Source organism: Homo sapiens, chromosome 17 (assembly GCF_000001405.40).
Source record: "Homo sapiens chromosome 17, GRCh38.p14 Primary Assembly".
Classification (NCBI taxonomy): Eukaryota; Metazoa; Chordata; class Mammalia; order Primates; family Hominidae; genus Homo; species Homo sapiens.
The window spans coordinates 55,433,036-55,454,478 of record NC_000017.11 but is presented as its reverse complement, the minus strand read 5'-3'; the positions used below and the strand labels follow the sequence as shown (position 1 = coordinate 55,454,478).

Below are 21,443 nucleotides of genomic sequence, written 5' to 3'. Positions count from 1 at the left end.
GTGTGATCCTTTTAAAAGCAAAACAATACAGGTATTCGTTTTGTGAGTTTTTTAACGGTAATCCCTGCAGCTTTTTTATTTTTTAGTGAGGAGGTAAATCCAGCCAGGATGATTGCTGACCTCAGCGGTTCTTTCTCTTTTGTAATGCACATCAAAATGCTACAGGACACTTTCCTTTCTCAGTTTTTCCTATCTTATTTTGAAAGCTTGTTTTGTCTGAGATAATTTATTTGGGGGCTTCATTTATCTCTTAACATTTCCTCCTTTTTAATAAACATCTTTCTAAACCCACTTTTTAAATATGAATATTCCAAAGACTCACACCAAACACCTACTTAAAACCAACTTCCTAGGAAAGTTACTTCTGGTTTTGTCAACAGTTCCATCGCTGCCCAGCTGACACTGGTGGTCAGCTGCTAATGACCCTTCCGCTGGAGAGAAGAGGAAGTGGGCTTGGCTCTAACTTGCCCTGATCCCCTTCCAGCCTGACATTTCTATGCACAGAGAACTAATGGAGTCAGACCAGACTGCAAATTCCCATGCTGCCATGCAGGTAGATATTTCCTAGAGAATCAGAGAGTTCTGCTACTAATCCTCAAAAGGGGAAAACACTAAGTTATTTCAGACATCACCCAATGAAGATCTATCCCACTGCCCTACTTAGTCTTGACCCAACTACTCTAAATATCTATTTTACTGTTAAAACCTGGGAATCTCCCATTAATAGTAGAACTAATAAATAAATTGTGGTGTATTCCTACCTGCAGGGGTGGGAGGGAACAGTAGGGGCTTCCAGGGGATCTGGTAATGTTCTGATTCTTGTTCTCAGTGCTAGTTATTAGCGTGTGTTCAACTTCTAAGAATCCACTCTATGTACACCAATGATATGTGCACTTTTGGCATATATGTTATACTTGAATAAAAAGTTTAAAAATACACTATTATTTTTAAAAACAACCTGGAAATCGTTACTGCCATTCCCAGAACAAAGATCCTGGTATATTTTATTTGGATCAGTGCTGAACTTGCCAAGAAACCTATGGGATGATTTATATGGTTTGCAGGCCTTTAAACGTGAAAGGAAGGCAGAAGAGTAGAAAACAGGAGTAACCTAAATGCTTCAAAACCTAACTGCATGGGTTCACTTTTTATTTATTTATTTATTTACTTACTTATTTATGTCACCCAGGCTGGGGTACAGCGGCTTGATCATAGCTCACTGCAGCCTCAAACTCCTGGGCTCAAGCCATCTTCCCGCCTCAGTCTTGCAAGTGGCTTGGGACTACAGGTGTTTACCACCAGGCCTGGCTAATTTAAAAATTTTGTTGTGTGTTGGGGATAGAGTGTCATTATGTTGTCCAGGCTGGCCTTGAACTCCTGGGCTCAAGTGATCTTTCTGCCTCAGCCTCCCTAAGTGCTGGGATTATGGGCATGAGCCAACCACACCCAGCCCGTGGTCTCACATTCTAAGGAACTGCCCAGGTGGTGTACTTCAGAGAAAAGGATGTGGTAAGAGTGTCCAAACACAGCCACCCATTCCTAGCCCTCCCTATGGAGACTTAGATCACTGAGCATCTTACTTCCCTCTCTATCAAAGTGTTGGGTTTTTAAAAAATTTATTTAGTGAGTGTTGACCTAATGGCTTTGTTGTCACTGGAATTATATGTCTAAGGAAAGACACAATTTACAGAGGAGGAGAGTACCCAAAATATACAGCAACGACTGACAGCATTATTTTTTCTATTAGAAAGCAAAGTCAAACATTTATAGGTCACTCTCAGGTCACCCAGAGACAGGATGTGAGCCAAGTGATGACAAAGCCCATTTTCTGGAACAGGATGGCCACTATGTGAGCAGAGCACGTGGAGGCAGCAGAGCTGGATCTTTCTGTGTGCTGTTCATGGCAAGCTCTTGATTTGTCCAGACTCACGGTCAAACTCCCCTTGAGAAGCTGAGAACTTGCTCCACTCTAAGTTACCTCCAGACAGAATTTGAAATCCATGGCCGAGGTCATAATCCCCCACCTCTCCAGCCCTATGAGTTTTCCTCCCCTATCACTATCACTACCCCAGCTCTGTTAGCAACTTCACTCTGCTGTTTATATACACGAAACTGTGTGTATACACACATACTGCTGCCTGGAGTCAACTGGATATTTTCAAATGAACTGGTGATTTAACTGGATTCAGCTGTTACCAGTTTCTACACCAAGAGTTCTCTAACTGTTCTGGGGAACATCTATATTCAGGAACATTTACACAAACTCCTGAACAATAGGATGTATGGCCAAATACACTTGGGCTTATTAAAACCATATGTGGGTCAAATATGCCAGGCTTATTAAAAGTGTTTCCTTTTTTTTTTTTTTTTTTTTTTGTAGAGATTGAGTCTTATGCTGTCACCCAGGCTGGAGTACAGTGGCCCAATCATAGCTTACTGCAGCCTCAAACTCCTGGGCTCAAGTGATCCTCCCTCCTCAGCCTCCCAAGTTGCTGAGGGCACCCACCACCTTGCCTGTCTAATTTTTAAAATCTTTTTATTTTTTGTGGCGACAAGGTCTCACTATGCTGCCCAGACTGGTCTCGAACTCCTGGCCTCAAGTGGTCCTCCTGCCTTGGCCTCCCAAAATGCTAGGATTACAGGCATCAGCCCCTGCATACAGTCTAAATTTAGTTTTCTTTAGAATTTTTCAGAGACTTTGATATGCATTGTTCAGGAGGAAAGAAAGAGTCTTAAATCTTTTGTGCAGGAAATATATAGTAAATTCCTTAGGTAGCCCAGTTTAGGAAAACTGGTAAATTCATTCATTCAACAGATATTTATTAAGTACCTACACTGTCAGGCACTGTGCCAGGTACAAAGAGGGTGTATCTTTCTCAAGAATTTTCATAGCATTTTTAATCTAGTGACAAGAGAAGACACTCAACAAATAAACAAGACTGTTTCAGCCTGTGATAAGAAACATATGGAGGAAACAGCCACTTCAAAGCCTCTGTGGGGAGCTATGTGAGCTGGAACTTGAAGATAAAACATAAGTCAGCCACAGGAAGAGCCATGGGGAAAGTATTCCAGGCAGACAAGAGCAAGTGCAAAGACACAAAGACAAGAAAGATCTTGGCCTGCTTCAAGGGCAACCCAAGGTCAGCCAGCTGGAGGTGCTGAAGGAGGGTGATGGATGGAGACACTGGTAGAAAATGAGGTTGGAGAAGGTGCGAGTATTGGATCATATAGGGTCCTGTTATGCCACCATCTGGAATTAGGGTCTTAGTCTATGGATGATAAGAAGCCATTAGGGGCTGGGCACAGTGGCTCACACCTGTAATCCCAGCACTTTGGGAGGCTGAGGAGAGCGGATTATGAGGTCAGGAGTTCGAGACCAGCCTGACCAACATGGTGAAACCCCATATCTACTAAAAATACAAAAATTAGCCAGGCGTGGTGGCGCATGCCTGTAATTCCAGCTACTCAAGAGGCTGAGGCAGGAGAATTGCTTGAACTCGGGAGGCGGAGGTTGCAGTGAGCCATGATCGTGCCACTGCACTTCAGCCTCGGTGACAGAGCGAGACTCCGTCTCAAAAAAAAAAGAAGCCACTATGGATCTTTAAGCAGAGAGTTGCTGGCAAAGGAGATGGAAAGAAGTGGGCAGATTAGAGATGTCTTCTTGGAGGTAAAGTTGGTGGACTCTCCAGTGTTACTGTGTAGACTCACGGGTGCCTAAACCTGTTGTCTACGCTCTGCCAGTATTGCCTTGTGCTTGTGAGCCTCTGTCTCCTAACTCAGCTGCAAGTTCCCTCTCTCTAGGCTGTAAGCAGAAAGCAAGGAGTACTATCTGGGTATTGCACCCGGGTTCCACGTCTGGGCTCACACTCAGCAACTGTGTAAATGTGGGCAAGTCGCTTCACTTCTCTGAGCCTCCACCATGTTCTCTGTGAAATGAAACCAAAGGAGACTAAGTGATCTACTTGCAACACTGTGAGATCCATGTTCTATGCTTCTGATGGCAGCAGAACTAGATAGAAAAGAATAAGGAATTTGCCCCACACCCCTTGAGAGAAAGCAACGAGGAAATGTAAAAGGTCAAAGATTAGATATGCTGTTAGTTTTCACTTGACTGCTGTAACAATTTAGCACACAATGAGTGTCTTAAAACAACAGAAATTTTTTTTCTTTCATATTCTAGAAGCCAGGAGTATGAAATCAAGGTGTCAGAGGGGCTGTACTCCCTCCGAAGGCTGCAGGAGAAAATCTATTGCTTGCCTCTTCTACCTTTTGGTGGTTCCAGGAGTTCCTTGGCTTGTGATCACATCACTGAAATCTTAACCTACCTGGTCATACTGCTGCCTCTTCTTCTCTCTCAAAACTTCTCCTGCCTCTCTTCATACTTGTGATTGCATTTAGGGTCCATCTGGGTACTCCAGGAAAAACTCCTACTGTCAAGATTTAACTTAATCATATCTTATGTCATATAAAGTCATGTTCAATATTTTACAACATAAAATAATAGTCACAGTTTCTGGAGATAAGGACATGGGCGTGTCTTTTGGGGGATCATCCTTCAATCCATTGCATCTATCTATCAGTGATCACCCCAACCCAAATAAACCCGCATAATATTTTCAGGTATCCATTTTTCCTTTTTCCAGGGTCCCTATTCCATGACTTTTGTTTCTTTCATTTCTCCTTCATAGTGCTCAATATTGGGCTTTGCACAGAGTAGACGGTTACTCAATGAGTGCTGCTCCCAAAAGAAACTTCCAGAAACCCTTTAGTAAGAGTATCCTGGGCCAGGCGCAGTGCCTCACTCCTGTAATCCCAGCATTTTGGGAGACCAAGGCGGGCAGGTCACTTGATGTCAGGAGTTCCAGGCCAGCCTAGCCAACATGGCGAAACCCCCTCTCTACTAAAGATACAAAAAAATGAGCTGGGCGTGGCAGCATGATTCTGTAGTCCCAGCTATTTGGGAGGCCGAAGCACGAGAATCACTTGAACTGGGGAGGTGGAGGTTGCAGTGAGCCTAGATTGCGCCACTGCACTCCAGCCTGGGCGTCAGAGCAAGACTCTGTCATAAAATAATAAAAATAATTTTAAAAAAGAGTATCCTATCCATTTCCCTTAAAACTCGAAGTTTGGAAAATCAGCTTTACACCAGTTGATCTGTAAGGCACAAAAGAACATACTTAGCTAGATGTAAAGTGATCAAGATTTTAGTCCCTACTCTAAACCAACTTGTTTATGACCCTGGATAGACAGGTCCCTCCAGCTGTCTAGACATTTGCTTTCTAAAGAGAGGGACTTACTACAGTTGGCTTCCCCAGAAGCCCTTATACCACTTACATTCCACAAGAATTCAAGAATAAATATGGTCTTTCTCAGGATCCTTTGAAATACATTATTTCCTTTAAGTTACAGAAGAAAAACACAACCTTTTGCCCTATCCTACTGCATATTGGCATGAAGTAGCTGCCCTAGAAGAAGAAAAGGATGAAGTGAGGTAAAACATCTTCATTTTCCAGTCCTGATGGCCCAGATCTGAACACTTGGGGCTTTTGCAATAAGGAGGGTCAAGTTTCAAAGATCGCTATCTCTGCAGTAAGCACTATTACCGTTTTGGAAAAAGTTAACAGATCCTTCAGCCAGCAAATATTCTTAGGCTTAGCAACATATAACTAACTGGATGTCTGTTTCTGTCTTCTACCCTCATCCTGCCCATCTCCCCCACCTCCCCCTCCCAACACCCGACCATATCCTCTGGAATACTTCCTCCCGTAAATAATTTGAAGAGCCAAGCATTAATTAGAGAAGTTATAACAGAGAAATCAAAAGAGGCACAGAAATAGGAAAAGAATTATCCGGTCCCTTTCATCACACTCCTTTACTTGGGCCTTAAAGGAAATATAAGAACTTTTGGCCAGGCGTGGTGGCTCAAGCCTGTAATCCCAGCACTTTGGGAGCCCGAGGCGGGTGGATCACGAGGTCAGGAGATCGAGACCATCCTGGCTAACACGGTGAAACCCTGTCTCTACTAAAAATACAAAAAAATTAGGCAGGCGTGGTGGCGGGCACCTGTAGTCCCAGCTACTTGGGAGGCTGAGGCAGGAGAATGGCGTGAACCCGGGAGGCGGAGCTTGCAGTGAGCCGAGATTGCCCCACTGCACTCCAGCCTGGGCAATAGAGCAAGACTCCATCTCAAAAATAAATAAAATAAATAAATAAATAAATAAATAAATAAATAACTTATGCCAGGGAGAAAAAAACATAGCATTAACTGAGCACCTACTATATACCAGGCCTTTTCCTGGTTATCTTACCCTCACAACAATCTGTGAAATAGATATTACATCCCCTTTAACAGATATGAACATAATAGCCAAAAGGTGGAAACAACTGAAATGTCCATTGATAGATGAACGGATAAAGAAAATGTGATATATATATATATATATAATGAAAGATTATTCAGTCTTAGAAAGGAATGAAATTCTGATACATGCTGCAACATGGATGAACCTTAAGACATTATGCTAAATGAAATGAACGATATACAAAAGGAGAAATATTATATGATTCCACTTACATGAGGTACCTAGAACAGGCAAGTTTTATAGAGACAGAAAGTAGAGTAGTGATTACCAGGGGCCACATGGAGGGGAATGGAAGTTATCATTCAATGGGCACAGAGTTTCTGCTTGGGATGATGAACCAGTTCTGGAAATGGATAGTGATGATGGTTGTACAACATTGCGAATGTTCTTAATGCTACTGAACCGTACACTTAAAAATGGTTAAAATGGGCTGGGTGCAGTGGCTCAAGCCTGTAATCCCAGCACTTTGGGAGGCCGAGGCGGGCGGATCACGAGGTCAGGAGATTGAGACCATCCTGGCTAACACGGTGAAACCCCGTCTCTACTAAAAATACAAAAAAATTAGCCGGGCGTGGTGGCGGACACCTGTAGTCCCTGCTACTCGGGAGGCTGAGGCAGGAGAATGGTGTGAACCCAGGAGGCGGAGCTTGCAGTGAGCTGAGATCGCGCCACTGCACTCCAGCCTGGGCGACAGAGCAAGAGTCCATCTCAAAGAAGAAAAAAAAATGGTTAAAATGATAAATTTTATGTTATGTATATTTTACTATAATAAAATAAAAGGATATGGAAACTGAGAGACTGATTGTCTCAAGCCTCATAGCCACTATTAGGGGAAGCCAGGGTTTGAGCCCATCTGTGTGACATGTGATAAATTATCATATAGGAGGAAAAAATTAGTAGTGATAATACTGATCTCCAGACAAAGCAAAAACCTCCTATGAAGAAACCTTAGCTTCTCATGTCTACCCTGAGCTAATTTCCTGACCTGAGGTTGTTTTTCAGATGACAACTGGATGGGTGGAAAGAATGTTAACACATCACTCATTGAATATTATCTAGCCACATCCTCGTAAGTCCCTTCTGTAGATGGCCTTATCTGCTGTTTTATCCTGTGGATCTAACTCTGTTTGAACTTTGAGAATAATTAAAGAACTAAAAGAAAAATAAATAAAGCTCTGGAAGCTTACAAATAACAGCAATAACGAGAGTAAATAGAGTGATTCCCTTCAGCCAGTGTCATGGAATTTTCCAGGTCACTAGACTGTAGTGTGTAAGCTCACCATCCTTGTCTCCCATTCCTGGGTATTTGGCACAATACCTGTCCAATAGCCATATTTGGCAATGTTTTAATGAATTGAATTACAATTTGAAACTTTAACCCCAAACCTGATAGGAGAGACACTCCTTCTTTCCAGTCTCGGTACTGAATAATCTGGTCTCCAACAGAAATCACTGATCTGAGATTTTCTTGTGGTTGTTGTTTCCCTGTCTATCACCATTACATACAGAGACTAACCGTCCTTTTTCTTACCATGTCCTGGGGATCTTTATCAAAAGACCACTTAAGAAAGTTTAAGTACTGCAACCTTTCTTGGTAATAATAACAGCTAATCTTTACAGAGTGTGTACTAGTGCCAGGCAGGGCTGTTAAGACATTATATTAGCAACTCATTTAATCTCCACAGCTCTATGAGATAGTCAGTAATATTCTTCTCACTTCAGTGATGAAGAAACTGAAAAGCTTGCCCTGGATCAGACAGCAGTTGAAGCAAGCTGTCATTCCTAGTCACTTTGCCTTGCTACTCAAAATATTCCATTATATAATGGAGATTTCTCAAGCAGAGAACATGAGACCATGTCAAGAGCAATTTTTTTTTTTTTTTTTTTGAGACAGAGTCTCATTCTGTTGCCCAGGCTGGAGTCCAGTGGTGCAATCTTGGCTCACTGCAACTTCTGCCTTCTGAGTTCAAGCAATTCTTCTGCTTCAGCCTCCCAAGTAGCTGGAATTACAAGTGCACGCCATCACGCCTGCTAATTTTTGTATTTTTTAGTAGAGATGAGGTTTTGCCATGTTGGCCGGGCTGATCTCGAACTCCTGACCTCAGGTGATCCACCTGCCTCGGCCTCCCAAAGTGCTGGGATTAGAGGCATCAGCCACCGCGCCCGGCCCCAAGACCAATTCTTGACAAGCCTGCAGTGAATTACTTCATTTCCAAGAAATGCCAAAAACAGACCTGATGCAAGCTTATAATCAAAAACCCCTACCTGAATTCTAGATTATTTAGTGCTTTCGTGGTTCACACAATTCAAGCCTTCCCTTTATTACTTCTTAAATATTCATTAATGCAGTTACTGCTATTGCTGAAACTCCACCTTTTAGGAAGTTTTATAATAATAAAATGATGTCATTCCTACCAGAATATATCTCAGTTTTTGATTGAGGGGTCAGTTCATTTTGTTTTGATGGTAGGAAGGGGAAGCAGTCAAGTGGTCTGAGTATATCTAGACATTTGTTCAATCCTCTACAATTAACGACTGTGGGGCCTAAGAGACATAATTTTTACCTCTCTGGGCCCTTCTCTTGTGAAATTAAGAGTTTCACAAAATTATAAGATCTTTTCCAACTTAGACTTGCTGTAACCAGCACTCAAAATAATCGGTTTCACAACCAATCTGTTCTATTTTATTCAATTATGAATTTTTTAAAGAAAGTCTCTCAAGGCTGGGCAAATCACTTTCCTTCTAAAGTTTTATATGGTCTTACTTTAAAAGTATCCCCCATAGCTGCTCCCTGCCTTCCTTCCACCCTAGGAGTCTGTTCATCTGGTAACCAAGTGCTGAGACCCCTTGTGATCTGAGGCAGGACGTTCAGGGTTGGAGCAGGGGGACATTTGGGGAAACTTTAAAGGGTGAGTCATCCCTCAGGCCAGAAATGGTCAGGATTGGCATGCTAAGTTCAAGTCTCAACCTTCACTTCCTGAATTTCATTTTCCACCAAGAGTAGGAAATACACTCTGTAAATCTTCAACTACCTACATGTTAGCAGAAGTGAGATTGGTGAGGGGGGTGCACAAGAATTCTGCTTAAATCTGTTCAGTCTCCAAAATCATACCCAACAAAGAGTCTTTCCATCCTAAGATTAGCAAGTGACCAGGCCAGCACCTTTCCGTGGTTAAGAGGCAGGAGAATAGGGTCTGGAGATGGAGAACTTAAGGCCAATTCGTGTTGAATGAAGGAAAAACACCAAGGTTTGGGGGCAGGGAATCTGAGGCCAATTTGTGCTGACTTTCTAAAAGAGAAAACACAAAGGTCTGGGGGCAGGGAGTCTAAGGTCAATCCATGCTGACTTCCCAAAGGTGGATCAAAAGGAAAACACCTGGGTCTGGGGGCAGGGACCCTAAGGCTAATTAATGCAAACTTCATAAAGCTAAACCAAAAGGTAAAACCCCATCTCCCCAAGCCCCAGTAGCAAAGGGTCAAAGGTTACTCTCCCTACAACCCTCCTTCTTCCACCACGTCTCAGACGTAAAGGGAGAGTGCCTTGGATTGGCCTCAGGCCAAGCAGGGACAATCCCTTCATCTGCACAGAGAACCAATTCACCTCAGCCTTTAATTAGCCACGGACCAAATCCTTCATCCAGATAAGGGGTAATGGATAAGAACCTCAAAAGGCACACTTAAAACCCAGAAAACTTTGTAACCAGGCCCTTGAGCCGCTTGCTCCGGCCCACCCCCACCCTGTGGAGTGCTTTCTCGCTTTAATAAATTCCTGTTTTTGCCTCTTTGTTCCTGTGTCATCTTCGTTACTTTGCTTTGCATTTTGTCCAGTTCTTTGTTCAAAACGCCAAGAACCTGGACATCGTACACTCAAGGCCATCCTTCTGGTAACAGAGTTGACATGGATTCTAATCCTCTACCAGAATTGTTGAAACTGAGCCCTTGGTTTGATTTCCACAAGTTCCGGGCAGGCCTCGATTACCCTACATTTCAGGTGGAAGTTTGCCTGGAGGCAAATTGCGGTGCAGGCGACCCGCAGACCTGGGTAATAAGCCCAGCCGCAGAGCAGAAGGCTGTACTCCCATCTGCCTGCCCACCCTCTGCCCGTCCTCAGCATTTTCTCGCTAAAGAAAAGGTTTTTAGCAAAAGTAACTTTGCATTGTGATTGATTTTTCATCTTTATTTTACAGACAAACTAACCTAAAATAAAACACTAAAAAATATTCCCAATGGAGGCATCTCCAACCTTCTTTAGAGGGGATTTAAAGTTGCCAGTATTGTTTGTTGTCATTGTAAGTTTTTAAATTATATACAGTATACATGTCAACTTCAAGATGTAGCACTAAAACCAGAGCCTCTGGTGCAGAGGGAGTCCCTGACAACCCCCATCCAGAACATCAGCTATGGGAAATGGGGACCTGGCCATGGCAAAGCTTGGATGGGGATGTGGAAAGGCCTCCTTATACCAGCATGATAGTGCAAGGCTTGCTCAGAGGCTAACCCGCTTCTCTATCCCCATCCTCCAACCAGGACATCCTGCACTGGTTATTTCTAAATCAGGACCAAAGGCAACAAAGTGTAAACTCTACATTCCATTCCTTATGTAAGAAAGCCCTGTGAAAGTTTCCTTCCTGGCAAGAGAGAAAGTGGAGGAGCGTCAAGGAGTTGTCAGACTCCTTAAGGACTGCACATTTTAAAGGAGAATTATCCCATCTTCAATTTTCCCATGGAAAGAGCCTTCAGAAGGAGACTGATCAGGGCCATGCATCATGTCCCAATGCATCATCAGCTGCAACAAAGCAATTCTGTTTTAAATGAGGTTGGGAAGTAATGCACATTAATATCTCTCTTGCAGAGTCACGCTGTGTGTTAGCATGTTAAGGGTTCTGAGAAGAACTACTGTAAGACAACTTGTTTATGTTTAACGCAAGATTTCCAAAAGCCTTTTGACAGTCTTTGTTCTCTCTTTTATGTAACACCTATTAACATCTGTTCTGAGGAATACACATTGGGAAATGCTGGTGTAATGGAAAATCAGAAAACCTTTGAAGTCAGAAAACCAAGGTTGGAATCACCGCTTGATCCCTTGCTTGCTGTGGGGCCTTAGGAAATCGTCTTAACCTCCCTGAGTCTCTGTTTTGTCATCTTCAGAATTAAGCTAATAACTCCAACCTCATAAGGCTACTGTGAGGATGAAATAAGCAAGCTTATTGCTTGGCATCTGATAAATGGTAACTTAGTATTAACAAAAGTGACACCTTATGGAGTGGAGGTTGTAAGGCACTTCCCAGATCACGCTGCTGGAATAAAGGAAGGATTTGTTTCCCAAGCTGCTGGGAATGCTGCATGGGAAGACAGCCCTCAGCTCTCAGTCCTCTTCAGGAATTGTCTTGGCTAAAGAGAGCCAATCCGGGCCAAAGGCAAGTCCTATCTTTAGGGCAGCTGTGGAAGAGGCAGCGGTTACAAAGGTCTGGCTCCCTCACCCTATTTGGGGACAAGTCTGAGAGTTATGCCAGCTTCAGAGCTTCCCATGGCATTGGCTAAAGTCTCTCTTGAGACGATTGCAGCCTATCTTCTTCTCCCAGTCCTATACCCTTTCTCTTTCTTTCTCCTTTCTTGCTCTTCTGTTCCCCTCTACAGGCGTTAATCCAAGAGCACTCCCGGATAAACTTACTGCAAATACATTTCCTGGAGACCCAGCTGATACCACATTGATTCTAATAGCCCACGTTCCATTCAGACTTTGAATGGCAGGAAAGAAAGGTGTGCAAGGCTCAAAGGGCCTCAGAGAGACCCAGGTTTATGCATGTAAGCATGTATGCGTTCCATATAGAGAAATGTATCACCACAGCTACTCTGGGCACACTGCCTGTGGGGTAGCCCTGCTCTGCAAGGAGCAGCTTTAAAAAAAATTAAATTAAAATTAAAAAAAGAACTGCATCACCGCTTGAACCCAGGAGTTCGAGGCTGCAGTGAGCTATGATCACACCAACTGCACTCCAGCCTGCGTGACAGAGCAAGACTGTCTCAAAAAAAAAAAAAAAGGAAAGAAATGCATTACATACTAGAATACCAGGAAAACATCCTCTCCATCAGTGATCGGTTCCCTCAGTGAAACAGAGTACAGCTTTATTCCTCAAAGTGTGGCTCATCAGCATCATCCGAGAAGCTTGAAAATTGTAGGGCTTCCCAGCCCCTTGCAGAGACTGTCTCAGGAGTAGGTCTCCAATAATACTGGAAATAAACATTGGTAACAAAATCTCCAAATGATGTTGATGCAGGCTATCTTTGGACCACCCTGGAGAATCAATGCTGCAAACTTCTTCTGTAAAGGATCAGATAGTACATAGTATAAGATTGGCAGGCCATGTAGTCTCTGTCATAACTATTCAACTCTGTGGTTGTGGCATGAAAGCAGCCACAGACAATACGTTAGATGAATGGGAGTGACTGTGTTCTGACAAAATTTTATTTACAGAAAAGGCAGCTGGCTGGCTTTGGCCATAGGCCATGCTTTGCTACCTTCTGCCCTAGACCGTTGCTATTCAAGCCTTGGTGCTAGGATCATCAGTATCACCTGGGACCATGCTAGAAATGCCAAATATCAGGCTCAGTCCCCAAACTACTGAATAGAACCTGTCAGTAACAAGACAAGTAACAAGATCCTCCGGTGATTTCCAGTACATTTGAGTTTGAGAAGTATTGCTATGTGGTGTCCACTGGGGCAAAAGCACAGATTAAAATGCCATGAGCTGGTTGGCTTCTCTCTGCTCTGTGATTACAGAGGAAAGATCAGAACCTAGGCTGAGCCGGTTTTCTTGCAAAAGTGTGACACACAAAGCAGGCTGGCTTCATGTTCCCATTTACTGGGAAAACAGTAAGTTCTAACTTTCTGACTGGGACTGTGTGGTTAATTAATGTGATAGACACACATTTTTTAAAAAATGCAATCAAGGCCGGGCACGATGGCTCATGCCTGTAATCCCAGCACTTTGGAAGGCTGAGACAGGCAGATCACTTGAGGTCAGGAGTTTGAGACCAGCCTGGCCAACATGGTGAAACCCTGTCTCTACTAAAAATACAAAAATTAGCCAGGCATATTGGCAGGCACCTGTAATCCCAGCTACTCTGGAGTCTGAGGCAGGAGAATCGCTTGATCCTGGGAGGCAGAAGTTGCAGTGAGCTGAGATCACACCACTGCACCCCAGCCTGGGGGACAGATTGAGACTCCATCACAAAACAAAACAAAACAAAACAAAACAAAACAAAACAAAACATGCAATCAAGCTGAAATATAAGGAGAGAAAAGAAAGAAACCTTATTTTTGAGGGAAAGTAAGAGTGGAGGAGATAAGCTGGTTGCCAGGCACTAGAGCTCATCTTCCTGAATCATGCCATCCTGTTTTTCCAGTACAGACATCACAATATTGCATTAGTCAAGTGATTCTGCAACATCATTTAAATGACATAAGGTGTCTGCTTGTGTCTGAGCATGATTCTGAGGGTGGACTTGTGCCAGCCCGTCTGTTCCTCAGAGATTATATCCAGAATTAATTCTATTAGAAACTCAAAAACAGCAGGCTTACTTTGGCACGATGACCCTAGCAATGGTTATAAAAGGATTGTGCGCCAGAAGAACCTGCTTCTTAAGGGACACCACCAGCAAAAGGGCAGATACATCTTGTCCTCCCTTCTGCCCATGAGCTAAGGAAAGCCCAGAGATGCTTTTCTGGCTGGATCTAGCCATTCCATTCTCTAGAGCAGTGGACAGCAAACTTTTTCTGTAAAAGACCAGATAGTATATTTAGGAAGGCAAAACTTTATTTCTACCTTTTTAGGATCCCTGGCTGAGTCTGCAAATGAAAATGACATGAAATAGATTAACAGAAGAACAACATACACGTTTAATACAAGTTTTGGTTGACACAGGAGCCTTCCTAAGAAAATAGGAGGGTCTTGGCTGGGCACGGTGGCTCATGCCTGTAATCCCAGCACTTTGGGAGGCTGAGGTGGGCGGATCATGAGGTCAGGAAATCGAGACCATCCTGGCTAACACGGTGAAACCCCTTCTCTACTAAAAATACAAAAAATTAGCCGGGCATGGTGGCGGGTGCCTGTAGTCCCAGCTACTCGGGAGGCTGAGGCAGGAGAATGGCGTGAACCCCCGGGAGGCAGATCTTGCAGTGAGTGGAGATCCAGCCACTGCACTCCAGCCTGGGCGACAGAGCGAGACTCTGCTCTGTCTCAAAAAAAAAAAAAAAAAAAAAAGAAAGAAAATAGGAGGGTCTTATTCGTTTGAATAGAGAAAGGCAATTGTGGAAAAGTAACTAAATTATGTGGTGGAGGCTAAAGGAAGATAATTAGCTTAACAAGGTCTGTTTGCAAAGAATTCTCTCAGCTATGACTCTCCACCAAAGAATTGTCTTTTTCTCCTGGTACAGGGAGGGCATCTTTCACATGGGAATCTTTATCTCCTGTTTTCTGAAAGAAAGGGGGAAGATTACAAAGCACTTCTTGTATCTTTTGTTTTTCAAGTGCCTTCAGCTAGAAGTCTCATGTCAAAGTGGCATGTTTTCGGGTAGCATATTCTGCCCCTCTTCATAAATATTTTAGGCTCTGTCAGCTATAACGTCTCTGTTACAACTACTCAGCTCTGCCATTGTAGTGGAAAAGCAGCCGTAGACAATTTGTAAAGGAATGGATGTGGCTGCGTTCAATAAAACTTTATTTGCAAAAGCAAATAGAGAGCTGGATTTGGCCTGTGGATTTTAGTTTGCTGCCTCCTGCTCTAGAGTCTGGTCTAGACTACTGCTTTTCAGACATTAATATGCATAGGAATCACTAAGGTATCATGTTACAATGTAGATTTTGATTCAATAGATGGAGTCTGAGATTCTACATTTTTAACAAGTACTCACATGATAGTAATGATGATGATCCAAGGACCATACTTTGAACAGCAAGGCTTGAATTAAAACTAGTAGTTCTCAATCTTGAATGCACCCTAGAATCACCGGAAGAGCTTTAAAAATGGCAATGCCTGGTTTTCACTCCTTCCCTGCCACACTCCATTATGATTTCTCTTTTTTTTTTTTTTTTTTTGAGACGCAGTCTTGCTCTGTCACCCAGGCTGGAGTGCAGTGGCGCGATCTCAGCTTACTGCAAGCTCCGCCTCCCGGGTTCATGCCATTCTCCTGCCTCAGCCTCCCAAGTAGCTGGGACTACAGGCACCCACCACCATGCCTGGCTAATTTTTTGAAATTTTAATAGAGACGGGTTTTCACTGTGTTAGCCAGGATCGTCTTGAACTCCTACCTCATGATCCGCCCACCTCAGCCTCCCAAAGTGCTGGGATTACAGGCATGAGCCACCACACCCAGCCCATTATGATTTCTTTATTTTGTGGTGTGGCCTGAGCATCAGGATTTTTTTTTATTATTATACCTTAAGTTCTAGGGTACATGTGCACAATGTACAGGTTTGTTACATAGGTATACACGTGCCATGTTGGTTTGCTGCACCCATCGACTCATCATTTACATTAGGTATTTCTCCTAACGCTATCCTTCCCCCAGCCCCCCACCCCCCGACAGGCCCTGATGTGTGATGTTCCCCGCCCTGTGTCCAAGTGTTCTCATTGTTCAATTTCCACCTATAAGTGAGAACATGTGCTGTTTGATTTTCTGTCCTTGCGATAGTTTGCTGAGAATGATGATTTCCAGCTTCATCCATGTCCCTGCAAAGGACATGAACTCATTCTTTTTCATGACTGCATAGTATTCCATGGTGTACATGTGCCACACTTTCTTAATCCAGCCTATCATCGATGGACATTTGAGTTGGTTCCAAGTCTTTGCTATTGTGAATAGTGCCACAATAAACATACATGTGCATGTGTCTTTGTAGTAGCATGATTTATAATCCTTTGGGTATATACCCAGTAATGGGATGGCTGGGTCAAATGGTATTTCTGGTTCTAGATCCTTGAGGAGTCGCCACACTGTCTTCCACAATGGTTGAACTAATTTACACTCCCACCAACAGTGTAAAGCATTCCTATTTCTCCACATCCTCTCCAGCATCTGTTGTTTCCTGACTTTTTAATGATCGCCATTCTAACTGGCATGAGATCTTATCTCATTGTGGTTTTGATTTGCATTTCTCTGGAGCATCAGGATTTTTGAAAGCTCCCTAGGTAATCCTGATATGCAAGTGAAATTAAGAATATAGCCCAGCATGTGAATGAAAGATTTAAGGGTTTCTTTGATAAGACTTAAATTCACTGCTCAGATTTATAAAATGGAACACTTGCTCAGAATGAAGTTATCCTTTGAGGAAAGGAAATGGCACTTGGGTAGAAAGTAAGCAGGTCTCTGAATTAGCCAAACAGGATTAGATTTAAAGCCCAAGTGGATGAATAAGCTGTATAGAAGGGAGCAGCCCCTTCCTCTGAGATTGAGGCAAGAAAAGCAACACAAGATTTTGTTAGGGGCTAGAAGCTGGGGCATTCATGTCAACTGTTTTGTAGAGGAAGAGATATTCAGCCAAGCAAACACTTTCTGAGCACTTAGCATGTCCCAGGGGAGGTCACCTGCTGAGCATGGGAAATGAAAGTGGAGTCAAAGACTTGAAGAGAATTGTGAAAATTTAGAACAGTTTCTGTGAACACTAGGGGAAGATGCAGAGCAGGAGACAAATGGATTTCCCAGTGCTGTTGTCGGCCAGCTGCAGTTAGAAACATTTTTCTGCTGAATAAAAGGAAGAATTTGCTGACAGTAAAAACTGTCCTGAGTTGCCACGGGCTTCCCTCGGAAATGGGGAACTTCCAGTGGCTGGATCTCAACCATAGGTTAGATCAGCACTTTTCATCCGGAAAACCTATGTACCAATAATAGCTGAGTGGGGTGTTACTAGTAATTTTGGCTAATAATGATACCGAACTATGCAAATTCTTAACTTTTAAAATGCACTCTAGAATACAATCAAGGCTGAGCCTGTAATAGCATCCCTCTTAATTACTTGCATTATTGATTCACTTTGAGCAGAAAATAAAAGGTGTGGTGCAAGCTTAGCTGCCAGGAATTGTACAGAACCCACAAACTATCTGATCTCATCAGCAGAGGTAATGTATTTCATATGTGAATGTTATCCATTGAGTGTGGGGGAATGGAAAAATGGGCTGAGAACTGTTGAGACAGATGTCAATGTGGTATTGGGAGATCTAAGAATTGAATGGAGATCTAAGAGTTGAATGTGGAATGGGGATGTTGACTTGAACAGTTAAAGTCCTTCCAACTCTGATATTCTGTGATTCTAGGAAAACACCTGTGTGTCTGGATCTTCTTTAGGCTTGAAACTAAAAGCTTCACACAAGAAGGGAATGAATCACTACATAAATTATTCAGCGCTTGAAGGCCCTCAGAGAATTACTCTCTGTTCTTTGATTGAGGCAGGGATTTTCTCCTAGATCCTTAGTCTGAATAAAGGCTGAGTTTTGGATCTCTCAGGTCCAGAAAAAATGCTATAGATAATTAGGCCGTCATTATCTAGGCCTCCTCCATCTTGAATCATTATGACTATAAAATCATTACCTTGTGCATAGCTTGCAATACATTCTTTTCCCTACTTACAGTCCAGAATTGCTGGTTGAGATAGATAAGGTGTTGTTGCAAAGGGATTTCATAACTAGTGGGAAACAGTATGACATAACAGTATGCCTGGGGCCAGATACCAGTTTTACTATGTTCCAGGTGGTTACCTTAACCAGGTTACTTTCTGCTCAGTGCCAGCCTCATCACTGGTAAAATGAGAATAATAATGTATCAGAGGGTTACCGTGAAGACATAATACACATCGAGTGCTTAGAATAGCACCTGGCAGGTATAAGGTAGGTAAGTATTCCAGCCACCTTACTTACATAATTGCTACCTTCCAGGAGCTGGAAGAAAGATACACTTAGATGGACATACTTTTTCAGCCCATGCAGCCAACAAAATAAGAACATAAAACCAAAACAAAATTAAACAGTGGGTATTTTATTACCTCCTTTTTTTTTTTTTTTTTTTTGAGAGAGAGTCTCGCTCTGTTGCCCAGGCTGGAGTGCAGTGGCGCAATCTCGGCTCACTGCAAGCTCCACCTCCCTGGTTCATGCCATTCTCCTGCCTCAGCCTCCTGAGTAGCTGGGACTACGGGTGCCCGCCACCATGCCCGGGTAATTTTTTTTGTATTTTTAGTAGAGATGGGGTTTCACTGTGTTAGCCAGGATGGTCTCGATCTCCTGACCTCATGATCTGCTCGCCTTGGCCTCCCAAAGTGCTGGGATTACAGGCGGGAGACATCGCAACCCACCCTTCCTCCTTTCATAGGTTCTCCTTGTTTAGAAAATTAGACGCCAACTCTTTAGCTTGGTATCAGAATCCTTCATGACAATGCCAATGTTTCAACACACATAATACACTCTTCCCCATTAAGTCAATAACCTACACTTGAACAAAATCAGACCATCTGCTGTGGTCCCAGTGGGCATGATATGTCCCCATCTCTGAAAGCTTACTCATAGTATTCACCCAGTCTGTATGCAATATATTTTTCACTCGTCTTTGCTGGTTGGTATCTTCTCATCCTTTACCATCCAAGCCAAGTGACTTTCTCTATGAAGACTTTCTTTAAAACCCCAGTAGATAAAATATGTCTATCCCTCTCTGTGATACCTTAACACTTTATATACTTGATACTTTCATTACCATACTTTTCATACACTTCCTTGGTATAGAGTTATTTTGTAAATTCCTCCAGATTTTAAGTGCCTTGAAAGAGAATTTGTTTCTTATTCATCTCTATTTCTCCTCCTGTGACTGGCTCCCACCGTCACTGCCCCCACAATATGCACAGTGCAGGCCATGCTGCCTTATACACTATAGGCATTTGATAAATGTGGGCTGGTTATGGGACTCTCTGGGATGTAAGAAAGCACTTAATTGGAATGAAGATTGGGAAGAGTTCCCTATCCAGCTTAAGTGGGGCAAGAAAGAGCAGATGCTATAACCCAGGGGCTTTGAGCACTTATTAAAATTAGATATTGAATGTCTGAGAACAAATTCTAGCACATACTGAGTATTAGGCATATTTTAGATGCTAGCCACCCCCTCTTCTAGAAGATCTGCCTCCTACCCACAACCCCCGATGAAGTGGTGAATGAATCATCTGTCTTTGTTCCACTGCAGTCCCCACTCCATCTTGAGTCAAAGCCTACCTACCCTACAGCCTCATGAGACAAGATGAGCTCAGCCACTGTCTCTCTCCACTAAGATTTCAAGTTAGGACTTAAAAATACTCAAGTAGGAGCTATAAACTCTAAAATTGTTGCAATACTAACAACAACAAGAACAACTGTATTTATTGAGTGTATACTATGTGCCAGTCACTGTGTGGCACATAGTACGTGCTCAATGTACTTAAGGACAATATCTTTACTCCTCACACTACTGTGAAGATGAGGCTGTTATTACCCCCATTTTATTTTATTTTTTATTCTTATTTTTTGAGACGGATTCTTGTTCTGTTGCCCAGGTTGGAGTGCAGTGGCACCATCTTGGCTCACTGCAACCTTTGCCTCCCAGGTTCAAGCGATTCTCCTGCCTCAGACTCCCGTGTAGCAGGAGCTACAGACGGGCACCACCACACCTGGTTAGTTTTTGTATTTTCAGTAGAGACAGGGTTTCACCATTTTGGCCAGGCTGGTCTTGAACTCCTGACCTCAAGTGATCCGCCTGCCTCAGCCTCCCAAAGTGTTGAGATTACAGGTGTGAGCCACTGTGCCCGGCCTCCCCCATTTTACAGGTGAGAAAAGTGGAAAACAGAGAAGTGAAGTTTTAAATCGATAGTCAAACTCCAGCAACCTATCTCCAGAGTCTATGCTCTTAACCACTATACTAAAACATGTTTCCCCGGGGCAGGGCAAGTCAAGGTGAAATGTCTCAAGGACTCAAAGATGGGGCACTGACAAGCCAAGGAGTAAGCAAAGGAAGTCAGTCTACAGACGTAAAAACAACTATGGGGTAGGAGCAAAGGGAGAAACATACATGAAAGATTACACAGCCATGAGGCAGCCACAGAAAGACACAGGACAACCCCATTTCCCCATAGCTATAAAATTCCTGCGGCTTGGCAACATCACATTTCCTGCCTTAGGATTTTGTAACCCTCACTGCTTATGATAAACTGACCTTTGCACTAGCTAAATAAGTGGAGCATAAAAAGAACCTGGTGTATATTGTTAAAAGCCTGTGTCTCCATGTTCAGTGTGGACTCAGAAGTCACACTCATTGCTCAGTCCTCAAGTCAGGCCAGCTCCCACTTTGCAGATCATGAGTGAGAAGACCTTATTGGAGCTCTAGCACTGCCAAGTTATTAAAACGGAGAAACTTTGAACTGGTCCTTAATGTGTTTGGACTTCAGCAGCTTCATTTATAAAATGAGTGTCAGGGGAGGGAAGAACCAATAACAAAACATTAGACCTGCCATCTGCCTCCAGCCAAAAGTTGTGACTGAGGCTCAGTGGAAAGGCCATGCAAACGTGGAACTTTTTTTTTTTTTAAGCTTAGCATTCCTTCGGGCTTGTGTGTAAACCGTGACTGTTATCGGTGGTGGTAAGCCAGTCAGTAAAGAAAAAAGTAATGCTACCTATCACGCTGGCATTGCCCTCTCTCACATCTCTGTTTACAAAGTTACAGGTATTGCCAGAAAATACCCGCATTCCTTTGTTCTCACTAATGAGTCAACTCTGGAAGCACCAGTCCCTTTATCAGTAAGACAGATCTACCTTGTCCAAGCCTCTGTTTACTCATCAACAGAAACATTCTCCTGGGCTGTTCTCCATAGTCTTGGCTCACAGTCTTCCTGTGTCTTTGTGCTTCACCAGACTTTACCTTTTCTGCCCACTTGGACCTAGATGACCTCCCACCCCCAACAACAAGGACTGTGATTCCTGCCAGCGAGTCTCTTGTTTGTTTTGGGGAGAAGCTTACTTGGCAACAAAGAGATGGGACAGATAGTTATTAGCTTGAGTGCCCAGACAGTGTGATTC

The 21,443-nt window shown here is 43.1% G+C and overlaps 1 protein-coding gene across 1 annotated transcript in view; it reads left to right on the top strand.

Moving 5' to 3' along the window:
- The window catches only part of SMIM36 (small integral membrane protein 36), an 82,292-nt gene extending 77,669 nt beyond the window's left edge, over positions 1 to 4,623 (top strand). The window contains exon 5 of the mRNA NM_001395421.2: positions 4,181 to 4,623. The gene's annotated coding sequence lies outside the window, so the exon portion shown is untranslated. The remainder of the gene's footprint in view (positions 1 to 4,180) is intronic.
- The last annotated feature ends 16,820 nt before the right edge of the window (positions 4,624 to 21,443 follow it).